Raw genomic sequence first — 19,232 nt, 5'->3', positions numbered from 1 at the left:
TTTACTTGTGCTGATGCTTGTATATTCCTGTCCTGAGCTTTTAAGTTGTATAGAAATTAATTAGAATATTTTCCCCAACACATCTCCCTACGAGAGAAAAAAGGCATAATCAAGGGAAACTGAGGCACTGGGAAGACTTAATTATTTTTGGTTATTACAGTGCCATAGTTATATGATGGAAAAATGTACTTTTATTAACAATGCCAGTCAATATTTCATTTTTTGCATAAGATTGCACTTTTCACACCTTTGATTTACCAGAGCATCCTAAATATCCAAGCTATGTTGTGGCAAAATTGTCCTACCTTTTCTGAACAGGAATTATTTATCTAAGCTTAAGCTCATGGATCTAATGAGCTGAAATGAATGCTTCTCTTTTCCAAAAGTCATTTCCAGAAACAGGTTTATTAAATTACAATTGAGAGAGTAGATCTTATTATTTTAGTGGTAATGCTTGGCAAGATGTTCTTTCAAAAACATAAATAAATTTCATTGTTATCATGAGTACTAGCTTTGGGGAAAAACAAACAATAAAAACCAAAGAAAATATTAGGTAATCTTTTAACTCTTCTAAAGGAAAAATGTTAACTTCAAAGGTAAATGGAGTCATTAATATAGAAAACAAATGTAAGAAAATCAATGCTAAGTATCAATGGAAACTTTTTCCTTTAAATTCCAACCACCAGAGTGTACCCCAACTAAAAAGCCTGCAGTCCTGCAAATCATTACCACAATCTTGCTTAAATATGTCAGAAGCGGGCACAGGGAATAAGAGCTGGCAGTTTTCCTGCCTGTTATAAAAAAGACGGAAGCCCATCATGAATGAAAGCATACAACACTACATTTGCCATCTGCATAGCTTCCAAATCTCTTGTATTTTATAGCAGTAGCTTGCCAAAACTCTGGCAAGCCAAAACCAGAATAAGACTCCCAATCTGAAAGAGAGAATATGGCAAATAATAAAATCATCCAGACAGCAGAGAAGTAGAATTGCAGAAAATCAAACTAAAATAACAAAACTGTCAAGCAGTGTTGAGAGAGCTAAGAAATGCCTACAAAAGAGGATTTAGAGGAAAACCAAAGGCTCAGGATAATGGAAACCATTGTTCAGTTGAAAGGTTTTTCCAAAGCAAATATACTCACTGGTAATAAAATGTTAAGCCTTTCCAGAAAATGTTGCTTCTTTCTCATTTCCAAAGTTCTAGCTATGTTTGTTTGAGATAAAGCAAACCTTATGTCTTTGAGCAGTTGGGTCCCTTTCTATTTTGATAGAAGAATAGACTCATAAGAGGGACTCAAACCCTGGCTATTAAGCCAGGGTTTAATAGCTCTTAATTTGTCATTTGGGATATATTCAAAATTACAAGCCAAATAAACACAGCTTTGCAACATTTAAAGCTGATAACATTTAAGACATTTTTTAGGCAGTTGCTGAGGGGATTTGTGACTTTGATTTTCTGTAAGTCCAGTGCAACTCTAGCAACCAAAATATATCACATGCTTACAACATATATTCATAAATTAATTAGGAAGAAAGAATTATATAGATTTTTGAAATTTGTATTGACACAATGTATTTTACATATTTATGGGGTACATGTATTTGCTACATGCATAGAATGTGTAATAATCAAGCTAGGGTATTTGAGGTATCCATCACCTTGAGTATTTGTCATTTTTATGTGTTGGTAACATTCCAAGTCTTCTGGTTTAGCTACTTTGAAATATAAAGTATACTGTTGCTAACTATAGTCATCTTACTCTGTTATTGATTATTGGGACTTGTTTCTTCTATCTAATTATATATTTGATATATTTGTACTCACTAATCAACCTCTCTTGATCCTCATTCCCATTCACACATCCTACCCACCCTCTGGTATCTATAATTTGATTCTCTGTCTCAATTAGATTGACTTTTTTAGCTTCCATGTGGAAGAACATGTGGTATCTGTCTTTCTGTCACTCAACATAATGACCTCCAGTTCCATCCGTGTTGCTGAAAATGACATGATTTCATTCGTTTTTATGACTGGATAGTATTTCATTGTGTGTATATACCATATTGTCTTTCTGTTTGTCCACTGATGGTCAACTAGGTTGATTCCATATCTTTGCCATTGTGAATAGTGCTCCAATAAACATAGGAGTTCAGGTATCTTTTTGAAAAATATATTTCTTTTTCTTTGGATAAATACCCAGTAGTGGAATTGCTGGATTGTATGGCAGTTCAATATTTGTTTTTTTGAGAAATCTCTGTACCATTTTCCAGAGCGGTTTTACTAATTTACACTGCCACTGGCAGTGTATGAGTTACTTTTTCTCCACATCCTGACCAGCACTTGCTATTATTTTGTCTTTGCAATAATAGCCATTCTAACTGGGGTGAGATTATACCTCATTGTGATTTTGATTTGGGTTTCCCCAGTGCTTAGCAATGTTGAGCACTTCTTCATATTCCTGACGGTCATTTATATGTCTTCTTTTGAGAAATGTTTGATTGTATCTTTTGTCCACTTGTTAATGGGATTATTTATGTTTTTAGTGTGAGTTGTTTGAGTTCCTCATATATTCTGGATATTAGTCACTTGTCCCTAGATACATTGTTTGCAAATATATTCTCTCATTCAACGGGTTGTCATTTCACTTTGTTGACTGTTTCCTTTGATGTCTTTACTTTTGAGGTCTTAGCCATGATATCTTTGCCTAGACTGAAGTCTTGAAGTCTTTTTTCCTATATTTTTTTCTAGAAGTTTTATGCAAACACTGATTTAAATTTTATTAACTTTAATGATTAACATTAAGAAGACTTAATGATTAAGTCTTTAATCCATATTGAGTTGAATTTTGTTTATGAGGAGTAGTAGGGGTCCAGTTTTATTCTTCTGCATATGGTTCTCTTAATTTTCCCAGCACCACTTAGTGAAGAGGGCGTCCTCTGCCCAGTGAATGTTGCTGCCTTTGTCAAAAATCAGTTGACTGTGAATACATGGATTTATTGAATCACTATTCTGTTGTATTGGTCTATGCATATATTTTATGCCAACACCATGCTGTTTTGTTTACTATAGCTTTGTAATATATTTTGGAGTCCGATAGTAGGATGCCCCCAGCTTCATTCTTTTTTTATCAGCATTACTTTGGCCATTCTAGTTCTTTTTTGGTTCTATATGAATTTTAGGATTGTTTTCTCTATTTCTATGAAAAATGGTATTGGTATTTTGATGGGGGATTACAATGAACTTGTAGATTGCTTTGGGCAATAGGATCACTTTAATGTAATTCTTCTAACCCATGAGCATGAGATATCTTTCCATTTGTTTGTATACTCTTCAATTTTAGTGTTTTGAGGTGTTTTTTGTTTGTTTGTTTTTTGGTAGAGGTATTTTACCTTTTTGGTTAAAATTTATTTTTAGGTATTTTATTTTTTGTCACTATTATATATGGGATTAACTTTTTTGTTTCTCAGCTAATTCATTATTGATATATAAAAACTACTAATTTTTGTACGTTGAGTTTGTATCATGCAAACTTACTGAATTTATTTATGAAATCTAGGAGTTTTTTCAGAGTCTTTCCGTTTTGCTTGATGTAAGATTATGTTGTAAGCAAAAAAGGACAACTCGACTTATTCTTTTTCAGTTTGGATGCCTTTAATTTTCTTTTCTTGCATTTAGAGGAAAGGCTTTCAGCTTTCCCCCATTCAGTATGTTAACTGTGGGTTTGTCCTGTGTGGCCTTTATTATTTTGAGTATGTTTCTTCGATTCCTAATTTGTTGAGAGTTTTTATCATACAAGGATATTGGATTTTATCAAGTAAATTTTCTGTATCAACAAGATGATCATATGATTTCTGATTTTATTTGTCATCTTTCCTTTTTTCTCAGTCTTGCTAGCAATTTATTATTTTTATTTTTTATAACCAACTTTTTGTTATATTGATGTTTTGTGTTGTTTTTTAGTATCTGTTTCATTTATCTCTGCTCTGATCTTTTTCTTTCCTCCTGCTACATTGGGGTTTGTTTTGTACCTGCTTTCCTAGTTCCTTGATGTGCATTATATTATTTCTGTTGTCTGATATCTTTCTACTTTTTGAGGTAGATGTTTATTGTTATAAATTTCCATTTAGCACTGCTTTTGCTGTTTCCTACCAGTTTAGGTATGTTGTGTTTCATTTTCATTTGTTTGAAGAAATTTTTTAATTTCCTTCTGAAGTTCTTCAAAGACTAAGTGCTTGTTCAGGAGCATGTTGTTTAATTTTCATGTATAGTTTTCAAAGTTCTACTTGTTATTGATTTCTAGTTTTATTTCATTATGTTCAGAAAAGATGTTTGATATAATTTCAATTCTATTTTTTGAATTTTTTTGAGACTTGTTTTGTAGTCAAACATATGGGCTGTCCTGGGAAATGTTTCATGTGCTGAGGAGAAGAATGTGTATTCTGCAGCTATTGAATAAAATGTTCTATAAATGTCTAGTAGGTCTATTTGGTCTACAGTATAAACTAAGTCTGATGTTTCTTTGTTGACTTTCTGTCCAGATGATCTGTCAAAATCTGAAAGCGGGGTGTTGAAGTCCCAAGCTATTATTGTATTGGGGTCTTTCTCTTTAGGTCTTGTAATATTTCCTTCATATACCTGGGTGCTCCGGTGTTGGATGCATATATATTTGCAATACTATATCCTCTTGCTGAATTGATCCCTTTATCATTACATAATGATCTTCTTTGTATCTTCTTAAAGTTTTTGTCTAAAAATATATTTTTTCTGAATTATATAAGTATAGCTACTCCTGCTTACTTGTAGTTTCTGTTTGTAAGGAATATATTTTTCTCTTACTTTACTTTGAGTCTATATGTGTCTTTACAGCTAAAATGCATTTCTTGCAGGCAACATATAGGTGGATCATGTTTTTTTTTTAATCCATTTATCCAGTGTATATCTTTTAAGTCGAAAGTTCAACCCATTTATACTCAAGGTTATTTACTGATATGCGACATTCTGTTTCTGTCATATTGCTAGTTGTTTTCTGGCTATTTTGTTGTTCTTTCCTTTTCTTTTATTCTTTGTCATTGTGGTTTTGTGGTTTCCTGTAGTGGTACCATTTGATCTCTTTCTCTTCCTCATTTGTATATTTGATTTACTAGTGAGCTTTATATTTTCATGTGCTTTGGGGATGGTAAATGTACTTTTGCTTCTAGTTGTAGAACTCCCTTGAGCAATTTTTGTAGGATTGGTCTAATGCTGATGAATTCTCTCATTATTTGCTTGTCTGGAACTTTAATTCTTTTTTATTTCTGAAGGATAATTTTGCTGGATATAGTATTCTTGGGTGGCATTTTTATTGTTTCAGCTCTTTAAAAATGTCATTCCATCTTTTGCTGGCTTGTAAGGCTTTTGCTGAGAAACTTGCTATTAGTCTGATGGAGGTTCCTTGATAGTTCCTGTTGCTATTTTTAGAAATTTTTTTTTCTTTGTTTACTTTAGACTGTTTGACTATAATCTGCCCTGAAGAATACCTTTTTTCATTGTATCTGTTTGGAAATCTCTGGGCCTCCTGTATTTGGATATCTCATCCCTGTTCTACTTGGGAAATTTTCACTTGTTATTTTGTTAAATAGATTTTCTAACTCTTTTCTTCTCTCTTCACTCTTGGGAGCACTGATAATTTGAGTATCTGGTCACTTTATGTTGTTCCAAATGTCATGGAGGCTTCAATCATTTTTTAAATTCTTTTTTCTTTATCTTTGTCTGATTGGACTATTTCAAAAGACTTGTCTTCAAGTTCTGAGATTGTTTCATCTGCTTGATCTAGTCTGTTGTTTATGCTTTAAATGTACTTTGTATTTTCTTCAATGAATTCTTTAGTTCCAGAATATCTTCCCTGGTTCATTCTTAAAATCTTTTTGGTAAATTTCTCATTCGTGTTCTGAAATGATTTCCTGATTTCTTTTCCTTTTTTCTTTTTTTTTTTTTTTTTTTAGCATTTTCTTGTATCTCACTGAGCTTATTTAAAATCAGTGTTTTGAATTCTTTATCCAGATTTCACAAGTCTTTTTGATGGGGATATACTGGAAAATTGTTTTTCTTTTGAGTGGATTGTTTTTCATTTTCTTGCTTTTTCTTGTTTCCTGTGTCCTTACATTGATATCTCTGCATCCAGTGTAACAGTTACTTTTTCTAATTTTTAAAATTTGCTTTCATAGGGGAGTACTTTTTCTAAAGCTCTATCTATGATGTTGGTTGTTTAGTCCTCTTTGACTTCTATTTTGGTTGTATGCAGTAGTGTAGTCTCAGCATGATTTCTTCAGCTGTATATAGCATCCATGGTATCTGTGATTTTTTTCAGTGGCTTAGAGTGCAGTTATTAATGGAGGCTATGGTGAAGTTTTGCTGGGGACTGGAATGCCAGATGGGCCAGTCTTTGGGCCTCATGTTTGCAGCAGTGAGCAAGCCTGTCCCTGAGCCCTGGAGCAGTGTGTGCTGGCTCTAGTGTTAGTGGGTCCAGGCAGGCTGATTGTTAGGCCTCCAGGAGGCTTGCTTGGCTGCTCATAGTGGCAGTGGTGAACCAAGTGTCTTGGTGGTTCCTTGGGCTCCTGGGCAGTGAGCATGATATGAACAATGGCAGTAGCAGTGGTGGAACTATGTACTGGAACCTAAGAGCTTTCAGCTGGTGCTGGCAGTAGCTGCAATGGCGTGGGTGGGCCAGGGAGCAGGTGGCACAGGCAGGTGGGTGCCAGTTGTGGTGATATTACAGGTTGGGTCAGCCTGACCTCAGATTCCAGAAGTGCTTACATGCTAAGGGTGGTGGACTAGACTGGCCAATCTCCAGGCCCCTGGACAGCATGTTCAAATATTTGGGTGACAGGACCAGGCAGGTGGACTTGTCCTCAGGCCTCTGGTGGTGTGTGCAAGTGCTGGTTGTGATAGGCAGGAGTGGGGCAGTTCCCAGGCTGCTAGCAGAATGCTCAGGTAGAGGCAGCAGCAACTGCACAGCAGGCCTGCCCTGGGGGTAGGGCGGGGCCACTTTCGGTGCCAGCAGTGTAGGCAGGCGGCTAAGGGACATGTGGTTTGCTCACTCCTTAGTTACACAGCAACCCACAGCAGCAGCACTGGGTTTTCCCTTGGAGTGTGTAAAAGTGCCTGGCCTTTCCTCTCCCTCCTTGGCCTGGTAGCAGCAGTGGTGTTGTCAGTCCCAGGGCGGGAAGCAGTTCTGTGTGAGCTGGACTTTCTGAATGGTGCCGTGCTCCAGCTGTTCAAGGGCAGGGGCCTATGGGTCACAGTGTGGGCTCCTTCTCTGAAGCAATGCCTCTGTGCAATCTCTAGCCAGCTCCCTATGTTAGTCTTGAGACCCCGAGTGCTGAGGGGTTTTCTAGTAGCTAGGATTATAAAAGATCACGGTGGGAATGTGGAAGCTTAGATGTCTTCCACTTACTCTCTCCCTGCATCCTATAGAATTTTAAAACGTGACATAAACTTCACCTAAGGGAATAAAGACGAAAATTTGAATCAATTCTTTTTTAGGATATAGACTGCCTCTACTCCTATTTCCAGCCATCTGTAAATACTCTTTATATTCTAAAAGAAATATTAATTGCCTACCCCATTACCCTGAAAAGTAGAACAGAAAAACATGAACAGTAAGATATTTGCCATTATAACAGATTGAAAATATGTGTGTGTGTGTGTGTGTGTGTGTGTGTGTGTGTGTGTATGTTTACTGCGGCACTATTCACAATAGCAAAGACTTGGAATCAACCAAAATGTCCATCAATGATACACTGGATTAAGAAAATGTGGCACATATACACCATGGAATACTAGGCAGCCATAAAAAAGGATGAGTTCAAGTCCTTTATAGGGACATGGATGAAGCTGGAAACCATCATTCTGAGCAAACTATTGCAAGGATAGAAAACCAAACACCGCTTGTTCTCACTCATAGGTGGGAATTGAACAATAAGAACACTTGGACACAGGGCGGGGAACATCACACACTGGGGCATGTCGTGGGGTGGAAGGAGGGGGGAGGGATAGCAGTAGGAGGTATACCTAATGTAAATGACTAGTTAATGTGTGCAGCACACCAACATGGCACATGTATACATATGTAACAAACCTGCACGTTGTGCACATGTACCCTAGAACTTAAAGTATAAAAAATAAAAAATAAAAGTGTGTGTGTGTGTATGTGTGTATGTCTTATCAAATACTCAGTTGATGTCATCTTTTCCTAGTCTCTTGTTAAGGCATTTCTTCTTCTAACCTTCAGATGAAGATAACATGAGATAATTTGGCTTTCTATCCAATTAATAACTGTACTTCAGGGAAATGTTCTATGGAAATCAACCCTGGTAACGGTCATCTAAAACTTGAAGCACCTTTATATTTTATCACTAGCCCCTGAGGCCTGGATATTCCTTATGCTCAGTGTTCAAACCTATGGACAAGTCTTACTTGCGGCCCAGAGAAATGGCTCAAAACACTCTGGGGCATAAACTAATTTCAGCATGCAGTAAGAAGCTCCCTCACAGTGGAGGAGATGCGTAAGCTTTGCAATGCTAGAAAACAAAATAGCTTGTCTACTTTTGAATTCCTGAGAATAAGGGCAGTTTGTTTCATGTTTTAGCACATCAAGAAGAATGAAAGTAAGGAATGGTGGGAATGCATTGTTATAGACAAAGAGAAGGTAAAAGAGAAGAAAGCTATGAGGAGGTATTACTCAACTCTTGCCTGTAAGAGCTTCAGTAGGCAAGGAGAAGGGGAGCTCTACCTTTCCTGGGTGTCGTGAACTCTCCCTGGTAAAAGAAAGAACATATTGGAATGCCTCTGCTCCTGAGCATACATCCAAGGTGCCCAAGGTCAATGAAGGAAACTTGAGGATTAAGACACTGGGTCTGGGCTTCCTCCTGGGTCAGTGGAAGCATCTTCATGATAGGACCTTCTCTTAGCTGTTGTTTCCAGACAGCCCTGTGCTGGGCTCCTACTTGTACCGGAATAATCCTTGTTGCAAAGAGGATTCAGTGGAGAATAGGGACCAGTTTAAATGGTCCTTATGAGGAGGAACTCAAAGTGTACCTTGTGGAGCAGAAACCAGTGCAGGAAGTAAAAAAGGTAGGCAAAGGTTATTGCATATCAACTGGGAAGCTCACTGTCTCCTCACCCAGCCTAAGAGTCCCCAGGCTCCTTATAGATAGTGACTATTGCATCACTAGTTTTAACTATAGTCTTTGATACCTGGTGAGTGCTTAATAAATGCTTTTTGAATAAATTACTATATGAGCATAATATGGTTTTGAAGTTTTTCATAATAGGGTTTGAGAGCTGTTTATTTATTTATTTATTAGGTGTGTAACCTAAGACCAGTTAATAATATGGTGTGTAACATTGGACAAAAAAGTTTATTTGCCTAAACCTTAGTTTACACATCTTTAAAATTATGCTAATAATACTCAGATTTTGTGAATATTAAGGGAAAGTGTAAGTGGAAAGCAGACAGTAGCACGCCTGTCTGTACTTTTCTCTCTTCCATCTTTTTTCCCAATGCTGACTCCTTTCCTTAGAATACTTTTCTATCTTTGCTTTTTGCTTTTTGTTCATTTGTTAAGGCTGATTTCAAACACAAATTTCCCTGTGAAGATAATTCTGCATCCCTGCTTCTTCCCTCTTCTCCCACTTAATTAGGTATAAACTCTATTTCCTTTGAGCCCATGAACTACTTTACTTGCCTTATAAGTATAATTCAAAGTCAGCGTGGCTGTGTTTTATTCAATGACTCATATTTGATGTATAGGTTGCATTTTTTTTATTAAAATATCTTTTGCCTGTGAAAGAATATGTAAGGAAAAGTAACAGGAATTCTTATAAAAATCACTTGGTTTTTATAAGAAAAGTTTAATCAGGAAAAATGTCCTGCCTAGTTGGAAATATCTTCATCCTAAGTAAGTCATTTCACTGTCTGAGATGAACGAGGACAATGATCAATTTAAAAGGATTGGCATATAAAATGCATTGATTCTTTTTCTGCTGCTTACCTGGAGCTTATGTCAATACGTTTTTGTATAGTGTATGATTTGACAAGTCACAGGAAACAGAATTATGAAAATTCTTATTCAAATGCATAAATTAGAAGAGTAGATGGAGTTTTTAGTTCAGTAAATGAGTCAACCTGATTCTCCTTTTTTTGGCTAGTAAGATGATATTCTAACAGCTTTTTCTGATAGAATATCTTCTATTCATATTTAGAAAGAGCTCCTTTATTGAAAGGGTCCTTACAAATGATCTAATCCAGTGCTCACAATTGTTTAAAGGGACGGGATCAGTTCTAGAGAAGAGATTTGCTTAAATCACAAAGCCAGTATTTAGCAAAGAGCAGAATAGATTCCAATTCTGGCTCTCTGTACCCAATATAGCCTAACATTATTTTTATTTTTAGTTGCTTTACTACTTCTCTTACTTAAAAAGTTATTACCCCAGCTGTGTTTTAAGCTGTGCCCATCTGATGCCAAGACAAAAGGCTAAAGAATAGATTATTCAGATAATATTTATTATTATAGTGGTCTCGGTCAGTTTATGTCTTATGTCTTGTTTATGATGCTATAACAAATCACCATAGATTTGGTGGCTTACATAGCAAGCATTTTTTTTCTCTCTCTCACAGTTCTAGATACTGGAAGTCCAAGTTTAGGATACCAGCATGGTTAGGTTCTGGTGAGGGCCCTCTTCCTGGCTTGTAGATGGTCAGCATCTCCTTGTATCCTCACATGGAAGAGAGAAGAAGAGAAAGCAAGTTCTCTGTGTCTTTTACAATAAAGGCCCTAATTCTATCATTAGATTTCCACACTCATGACGTAATTACCTCCCAAAGGCCCCATCTCCAAATACCATACATCACCTTGGGGATACCAATCACAAAGGGTTTCAAAATATGAATTTGGTAGGAATATGGGGTACAAACATGCAGTCCATAACAGGAAAAAATAGTTAATCGTGGTTAGTGAAATGGGTTTACTGTTAAAATATTATTTGGGACAGGGAACTAATAGATTCAACACTTCCACCTTCAAAGAAAGTGCATGAGGAAGCATTTGAAGAGTCAGTACGTTTGTATAAATTCCTTACAATGGATATATTCAGCAGAAAGGTTGTTATTACTCTATCATGAAATAGAAATGTGAGGACTATAGAGTATTTAAATTGCAAATAAAATATCCATTTTCTAAAATATTGCATAATTCAGTCATTACTATACTCCTATGAGGAAGAGAGTCTTAGCATTTATTTATTAGCTTTAGTTTTAAGTAATCAGTAATTACATAATAAAGAGGTGAAATTGAGTGTTGAGCACAAAAATATGTAAGACTGCCACATTCCTCTGTTGTAATCAGCTCTTGTTTGTGATTTCAACAGAGGGGAAGGTTAGAATGCCATCCTTCTGGAACACCCTGAGAAGTCCAGGTGAGTGGGAGGTGGAATATGCATTTCTACTCCTTGTTTTTCTTTTTCTAATGTAGTGAAATTGATAGAATTATATTAACTCCTTATTGTCAGTAATTATGCCACACAATTATTTGAGCTTACCAACCTACATCCTTGACTATACAGGACATACTCTAGTTTACAAAAAATGAGCACACTTTAATCTCCCTTTTCATGAGGCAGATAACTAAAGGTTTCAAAGGTACAAAAAATTTGAACATGACTGAATATTTGATAATAAGAAATTACTGACATTTTTAAAAGAAGTGATAGCGGTATTGTGGGTTAAAAATATTTTTAAAAAGAGTTCTTTTAACATTTAGATGTAACTATAAAAATACTTATGAATAAAATAATATGACATCTCTAATTTGCTTCAAAATAACTTGAAAATGGGGAGTAAGTAGAAATATGTGTGAGACAAAATTGGGCTATGAGTTGGTAATGAAGAAGGACATTTATTATAATTTTCTCATTGCTTTTTTAATGATTGAAATTTTTACAATAAAAATTCAAAAAATAAAACAGGTAAAACACTTCCTTTTTCTCCTGCCTTAGAAAAGGTTACCAAAGTGGTTGGTCAGGCTCTACAAGTTAATACATGATAGGATCACAAATTCAAAGCTCAAGTAAATCCAATGAAGTCAAAAGTGAATACCACATAAGGTTGGGAGGTGAAGGAGGGAGGAAGATTAAAAATACAAAACAAAACCTACCTATAAATTCTAGATACACATTAACTTCATTATTATTTGATAGTATAGGAGAGCAAATATTAATTCAATAAGAATGTAGATGGAACTCTATGTGCCAAGCACCATGATAAATGCTAGGGATACAAAAATGCTTAGACACCATTTAAAACTATAATAACATGTTTTACAGAGTATAGTAGAGTTAGAATAAATTGCTTTGGGAACCCAAGTGAAAGGACAATTAATTCTGCAAGGGTTGATAATAGGAACATGAAAAGGTAATAATTGAACTAGACTTTGAATAAGCAGGCGTTTGCTATGTGAAAAATGAGTCTATTTCTAAATAGGTTTGTCAAGTCATATTTGATACAGTATCTCTAAAGCCATGGTTCTCAAAGAAGCATTCTTTACCTTCCTCAATGGCTCAGGTAGTCTCCATTGAACCAATGCTGATAGGGACCTCAGGTTGTTTGTTCACAACCAGAATGATTGCTTTGGGAGAAATAGGTAGAAAAAACAACACGGAATGGCCTTTTAGATGGGCAAAATGAAATTATCAGAAATTCAAAGGGTGACCTGTTAATGGCACTGGTTGAAGTTCTGTATGGTCAGAACACAGGGAGCAGGGGTGTGTGGCAGGGGGCAAGGATGGCAGGTAAAATGTGACCAGACTGTGAAGGATCACATAAGGAATAGGAGTTTGATATTTTATGTACGGCAAAATAGTAACCATTGAAGATTTTTAAGCAAAGGATTGATGCAGAGGTTTTCATCTTATATTAAGAAAACTCTGACATCATTCTTCTATCATCATTCTGAGTGACTGGAAGGAGAAATACTTTGAAACAAGGAGAATAATCAACAAGTTATTTTAATTGACCTAAGCAAGAGTGATAAAATGAGTGTCTTTGGGGATAAAGAAGAAAAGACCGATGGAAGACAGCATTTGGAATTAGAATTGATAAGACTTAGTCACTATATGGACACTGGCGGAGTGGTAAAAAAAAAAAAAAATTCAAAACAAAACCCATGTACTACCCTACTCTAACCAGGGTGGCATGATCAGATCAAGGTTTGGGTTTCAAAGTATCAGCATCAACTAGTCACAGTTGAATAGTTCAAAATGCTTCTCAATGTTTGGTTGTCTTAATCTGTCATAGATTCCTTGAGCAAGGACTAGGGGATGCATTACTGTTTATTCTTGCCATAGTTTTTCAGACTCCTTCCTGCTGAGGACTCAACCTATTCTTCAAATGATGGGTTTTTGGATTGAGAACTGCCTGAGAACTGCAATATGTGCCGGGATCTTGATTTTCTATCTGGGACAAAAGACTGAGACTGGGCCTCATTCTTCTCTTTGTTCATTCTTGATTTCTTTGGATTATATATTATATTAAACAACATTATCATTGGCTGTTGATCTATCTCATTGGCTGTGGTATTAGCCAGTTGCATAGCTCCCTGCAGGTGAGATTTCCCTGCCTGTTATTCTGACCTTGTTACTTGTTGAACTTTACTTCTAGCAATTAAATGCTGCCACATTTCCTTTGCTGTTCAAGGATCACATCATCTTGATTGCTGTTGAGCCTGCTAATAGCAGGCTAATATTTTTGAATGTCATCAGCCCAGACTGTAGAGGACAGCCACTATGAGATTTTCAATGATACTGTTGCCTCCTTCATCAGCTTATTCCATTTTGGTAAATGGTGGGTCCTTTAGATCTTTTCAAGGAATATAGTTGGAATGTAGGTCTTTTGGTCTTAGGTAGTTGGTCTATTCTAACATGCTCCTATCAATGAGTCTTTTGATCTCTTTCTCTATGGCCTGTCAGAACAATTCAGACATCTTTATGTTTTTTCAAATTTCTGAGTCGTCCTAATAGCACATCAGAACTGTCCTGCAGGGTTTTGTCAGGTATTAAATTAAATAAAATAATTTCCCTGAAATTGACAAAAATCTTTGTTATCCAGCTTTACCTTCACTCATGATCTGGCATCCCGGAGATCCAATCATGGGGCTACTCTCCTGGTTCCTGTTGGTGGATGATAATTAGGTTCTGTGGGTTCTTCAACACGTAATTTTTCTCCCTTCTTAGCAGACTCGGCTTTTCCGTGTTGTGCCATGTTGTTAGTTGACCGTCTTGATTGATCTAATGGCCAGGAGGGGACAATAGGGCAAATCCTGCAGAGGATGAACATTGTCTCATGAGCAACCTTGCCTCACTTGAGGCATCTGCATAGTCTTCAAGCAAGGATGAGATGGGAGAGGATGCTGTCCTCTAACAGGAGTGATGGTCTACTTTTGCAGGACCAGGGGATTCAAGGGAATCCACGGCTTAAGTTTCTCAAGGGCATTTTCTTATATAACCCTTTCCTAAATTTCAGAGTCCAATTTCTTTATTACCAGGGCCCTGATAGCCCTCAAGATAAAAGAAGTGAGGGAAGTATATGACATAGCATGGCAAGTGGCTAAACACAGATGAAGTTTCATTTGGAATCTCGCTTTAGCTAGATACCTTGGGGTGCTCTGGGCATAAGTCACACCTTAGTGTTGTTGTTACCTATGAGCACAAGGGCCAAGCCCTGGCTGTAGGCTGTCCTGGGGTGGGAGAAGTAACTTCTTGAGTGAGGTGGCTCCCATTTAGTCAAAGTTAATTTCTTGAAAAGAGGAAGTTGTGAGCTATAAGCAACCAAGATTTACAGCAGCTGAGAGTTGGGCGCACTGGCTGGGTAAAGATAGTCTGGCTAGGACACAACATCATCCATCATCCACAATGCTTGTCCTCTGCAGAACTGGCCCCATCTTCCACTCCAGTGCTGACTATCAGGTCACAGAAGAGGGTTAAGTTACAACATGGCCCAACTCAGAAGAGGTAGACCAGCTATGAAAGAAGAAAAATTGCATATTGGATGTTGAAAACCACATTCTAGGCTTCATTTTTTCCTGCCCTTATTCTTTCCATTGCCCAAATTATTTTATCCATTTCATATTTACATTATTTCTAACACTTTACTATTACAAAGAGTACTGTCATGAATATTTTTGAACATATGCATGTGTGTATCTTTGTAGGTACATTTGTGAGATACATTCCTAGAAATGAAATGTTGGATCAAATTTAAAATTCATAACATTTTGCCAAAGAGCCCTTCATACTTTGTAACAATGTATATACTCCACAAACAGGGTATGAGAATACCTTTTTCTTAAATCTTAACTAACAGTGTTATCATCAGATTTTTTAATGACAGAAGATTGATGATCAGACTTTTCCAATCTGAATTAGATATATATTACATAGTATATTATTTTAATTAGAATCTGTAAAATTATGAATGATTGGAGTACATTTTTATAGGTTTAAAAGCCATATATATTTCAGAAGAGAGTACTTTTCAGAGATTTAGAAGGTAGACTCACACTATCAAATGACATCGCTGGTGTTAATAAGAGGATCAGATCTGAATCCCCGTTTCCAAAATCATAAACCAATGTAAGATGCATTTCTGTATTTTTCTCAATATTTAGCTCAAAGGCCACCCCCTCTATGGTAACTTCTCTGGCTGCTCTGGAAAAGTGACCGGCCCCTTGCGTGTGCTGGTTATTTCTGTGCACATCTCTCCTCAAATCCTCACTACAGTGTGGGCAGGTGTGTCTTGTTCAGTGATTTGAAAATTAAAGCATTAACACTTGTAAAGCAAAAAGGCAAATAGTATAGGAACATCAAATGTAAACAGATAATTTTCATTTTAATTTTCTAATCCCACCTCATAATGGAATCCCTTAGGCATTTATTTGTATGAATCCCAAAACTTCCATTACTATATTCTTTGTTTATACAAATAAAAAACATATTTATACATATAGTTAATAACAATAATGTGACATACACACACACACACACACACACACACACACACACTATTAGGGATCCTGTTTTTTTAAATAATATATTATTTTTTTCTTAATCCAGTCTATCATTGTTGGACATTTGGGTTGGTTCCAATCTGGATTAAGAAAATGTGGCACATATACACCATGGAATACTATGCAGCCATAAAAAATGATGAGTTCATGTCCTTCGTAGGGACATGGATGAAGCTGGAAACCATCATTCTCAGCAAACTAACACAAGGACACAAAACCAAACACCGCATGTTCTCACTCATAGGTGGGAATTGAACGATGAGAACACTTGGACACAGGAAGGGGAACATCACACACCGGGGCCTGTTGTGGGGTGGGGGGAGGGGGGAGGGATAGCACTAGGAGATATACCTAATGTAAATGACGAGTTAATGGGTGTAGCACAGCAACATGGCACAGGTATACATATGTCACAAACCTGCACGTTGTGCACATGTACCCTAGAACATAAAGTATAATTTTAAAAACTTAAAAAAATATTATTTTTTTCGAAGTTAACACATATACATATGTTTCATTCTTTTTAGGAGTTCATAGAGAAGTCTCTTGAATGGATATAACATAAGTGATAAAAACATTTCTTTATATATGGACATTTCAGGCTGTTCCATGTATTTTTTTTTCTGCTACACATAATGCTGCCATACATAAATCTATCTACATATGTCCTGAAGTACATGTACTTTTATTTTAGTTGGTTACATTCCCAGAGTAAGATTTTGAGGTCAAAGTTAATGTGATTTAAAGTTTAATAAATATTTCCAGATTACTCTTTCCAAAATTTGTCATAATTTATACTCTTACCAACTGTGTATGAGAAGAAATGTTTTCCTATGCCTTTTCAGTGGGACATACAGTCAGTCTTTAAAGATTTTGTCAAATTAATGACAAAAGTTTGGTACTTTCTCATTTTTATAATTTGCGTATTTTTCTGGCTAATATTGACATTGTGTTTCTTCTGCATTTTCTGATGTGGGGAACACCTTTTCACAGTCTTTGTTCATTTTATAATGGGTAGTTTATCAGTTTCAGAGCTTTACTGAAAATTTGGGGTATTGTATGTTTTTCAAATGTTTTCTCTCAATCTTTTATGTATCTTTTGACTTTTTTGGGGGGTCTCTATGGTCATATAGTTGTTTTTGTTTTCGTTTTGGAATTGACTATGTCAACATATTTTTTGGCTTATAAGTATACACTCTTATTTAAGATCTTCCTAAGCACAAGGTTAAAAAATATTCTCCTATATTCTAAAAATTTTATAATTTTTCTTTTAACATTTCGTTCTTTGATACATCTGTAGTAAATATTTTGATGTATTTTATTAATAGCAATTTTCCCATTTAATGATGCCTTTTATCTAAAATAATTTCCAAATTCTAAGATTAAGAAAACTGAGAGTTAGTGAAGCAAAATTACTTGCCCAAGATCATGCAAATTAATTGCTTGTGTGTTTTTCTGTTCTTTCCTCCCTAGTGTTTAAGCTCAAGCAAGTAAAGACCTTCCTTGTATTGTCTACTTCTGTATCATTGACACCTGACATTCCTAATAAGAATGAATAAATTAATCATTAGACATGACTGTATTCATGTTTATCTTGAATAAATTTTGTCAATGTGGTGGTGCCAAGTTATTACATTGTATACAGAAAGGCTTCCCACTATGGGGATATCCAAGTAAGAAAAAAGCATAGATGTTTCAGAACACGATCTCATGTCATTATTGCTTGCAAAGAGTATCTCAAATTTCCTAAAGGAAAAAAGAGAGTCTAATGGATACAGAGAATAGAAGAAGTGATACTGGACATGAGACTACTGTCTTGACTTAGTAAGAATAGCACCAGTCCCACATCATTTGAATTACACACACACACACACACACACACACATTCACACCCACACTCAGAAACATATTATTTCCATATACTGCAAAGAGGACTATACCCCATTTAAGGAGCTGAGATTTTGCTCTGGTTCCGCGGTTAACAGTCTCTCACATGTTTTCAGTGGCTCTCAATTTCCTCATTTCTATAATTAACCTAACAGTAGGTAACATATAATACCTACTATTATTTACCTGAAATTCATTGAGTGCTTGTTTGTGTAGGATGGTTTCACTAACTCTAGTTTCAGAATCCCTATCTCACATAAATTTTAAAACAACTCCATGAGGGAGGTGTTCATGTACAATTTATGAGTGAGAAAACTACATCTTTTGTTAGCTAATATGCTTGGGATCACTCAACCAGTAAGTAGCAGCTTGAGGTTTGTCTTCCAAGGTGTGTCTGACTCTCCAAGACCTGCAGTCTCTGTAGCTCTAATACAGGAAGTTGAAACCAGATGAGATAAACTGCAAAGACATTCCTTGTCTCCATGTAGGCAAGAGTCCCTTAGATTTATCAATCTCTTTAGACTCTTAAGCACAGTCACTGCATAGTAAACTTTTCATAGTTTAACTGTCCCAAAATATGATTCTCTTTCAGGCTTCTCTGCTTGTGGTCTTGGGAAACTGGAAACTACTAACTCTAATACCATTGAGATGTTGGCAGCTAAAGAAAATAATGGTTTGTTAGCAAGTACCTTCCAAGTAGTAATTCTCCTTTTACTTCTTTATTAAAGCAGGCAATAGAATAGCCATACATAGTTGAGAGGGTTGGGCATCACTGTTTATTACCACAAAACTTGAAGCCAAACACAGCAATCAGCAACCTAAAAGTATTGAACCTACAAATACCTTCACCAGAGACTTACTAATGTTTTTGGTGTATAGCGAGGAAGGGAGAAGATCCAAGTGCATAACCTCACACCTGGTCATTTTGATACTAAGATTTAATTTTGTCATTATTAAAATAATGAATCCTGAAGCACTGGGAAGCTTGTACGTACCCCCATCAGGGTCTTCTCTGCCTTCTGATGTTGCTGCCCTTTTCGACTACACTTAACTGTGAATTGTGGTATTGTATTAGGTAGTTCTAGTAGAAAACCAAATCCAACTGTGTAAGTTGCCATCAACTTCTACTCTGAAATGCTGTGATTTAAAACAGCAGCTGGCAGATCATCAGTCATCTATCCCAATGGACACACTGAAACAAATTAATATGCTTAATTTCTTTAGTTTACAGCTGCAGCTTTGGTGT

At 36.1% G+C, this 19,232-nt stretch overlaps 1 long non-coding RNA gene across 1 annotated transcript in view; it reads right to left on the bottom strand.

Moving 5' to 3' along the window:
• The window catches only part of LINC02147 (long intergenic non-protein coding RNA 2147), a 535,702-nt gene that overhangs the window by 11,386 nt on the left and 505,084 nt on the right, over window positions 1–19,232 (bottom strand). The gene's annotated exons all lie outside the window — the stretch shown is intronic.

Source organism: Homo sapiens, chromosome 5, assembly GCF_000001405.40.
Source record: "Homo sapiens chromosome 5, GRCh38.p14 Primary Assembly".
In the NCBI taxonomy this organism is placed as follows: Eukaryota; Metazoa; Chordata; class Mammalia; order Primates; family Hominidae; genus Homo; species Homo sapiens.
The sequence above is the reverse complement of the archived record's forward strand: the minus strand, read 5'-3'. Positions and strand labels throughout refer to the sequence as shown.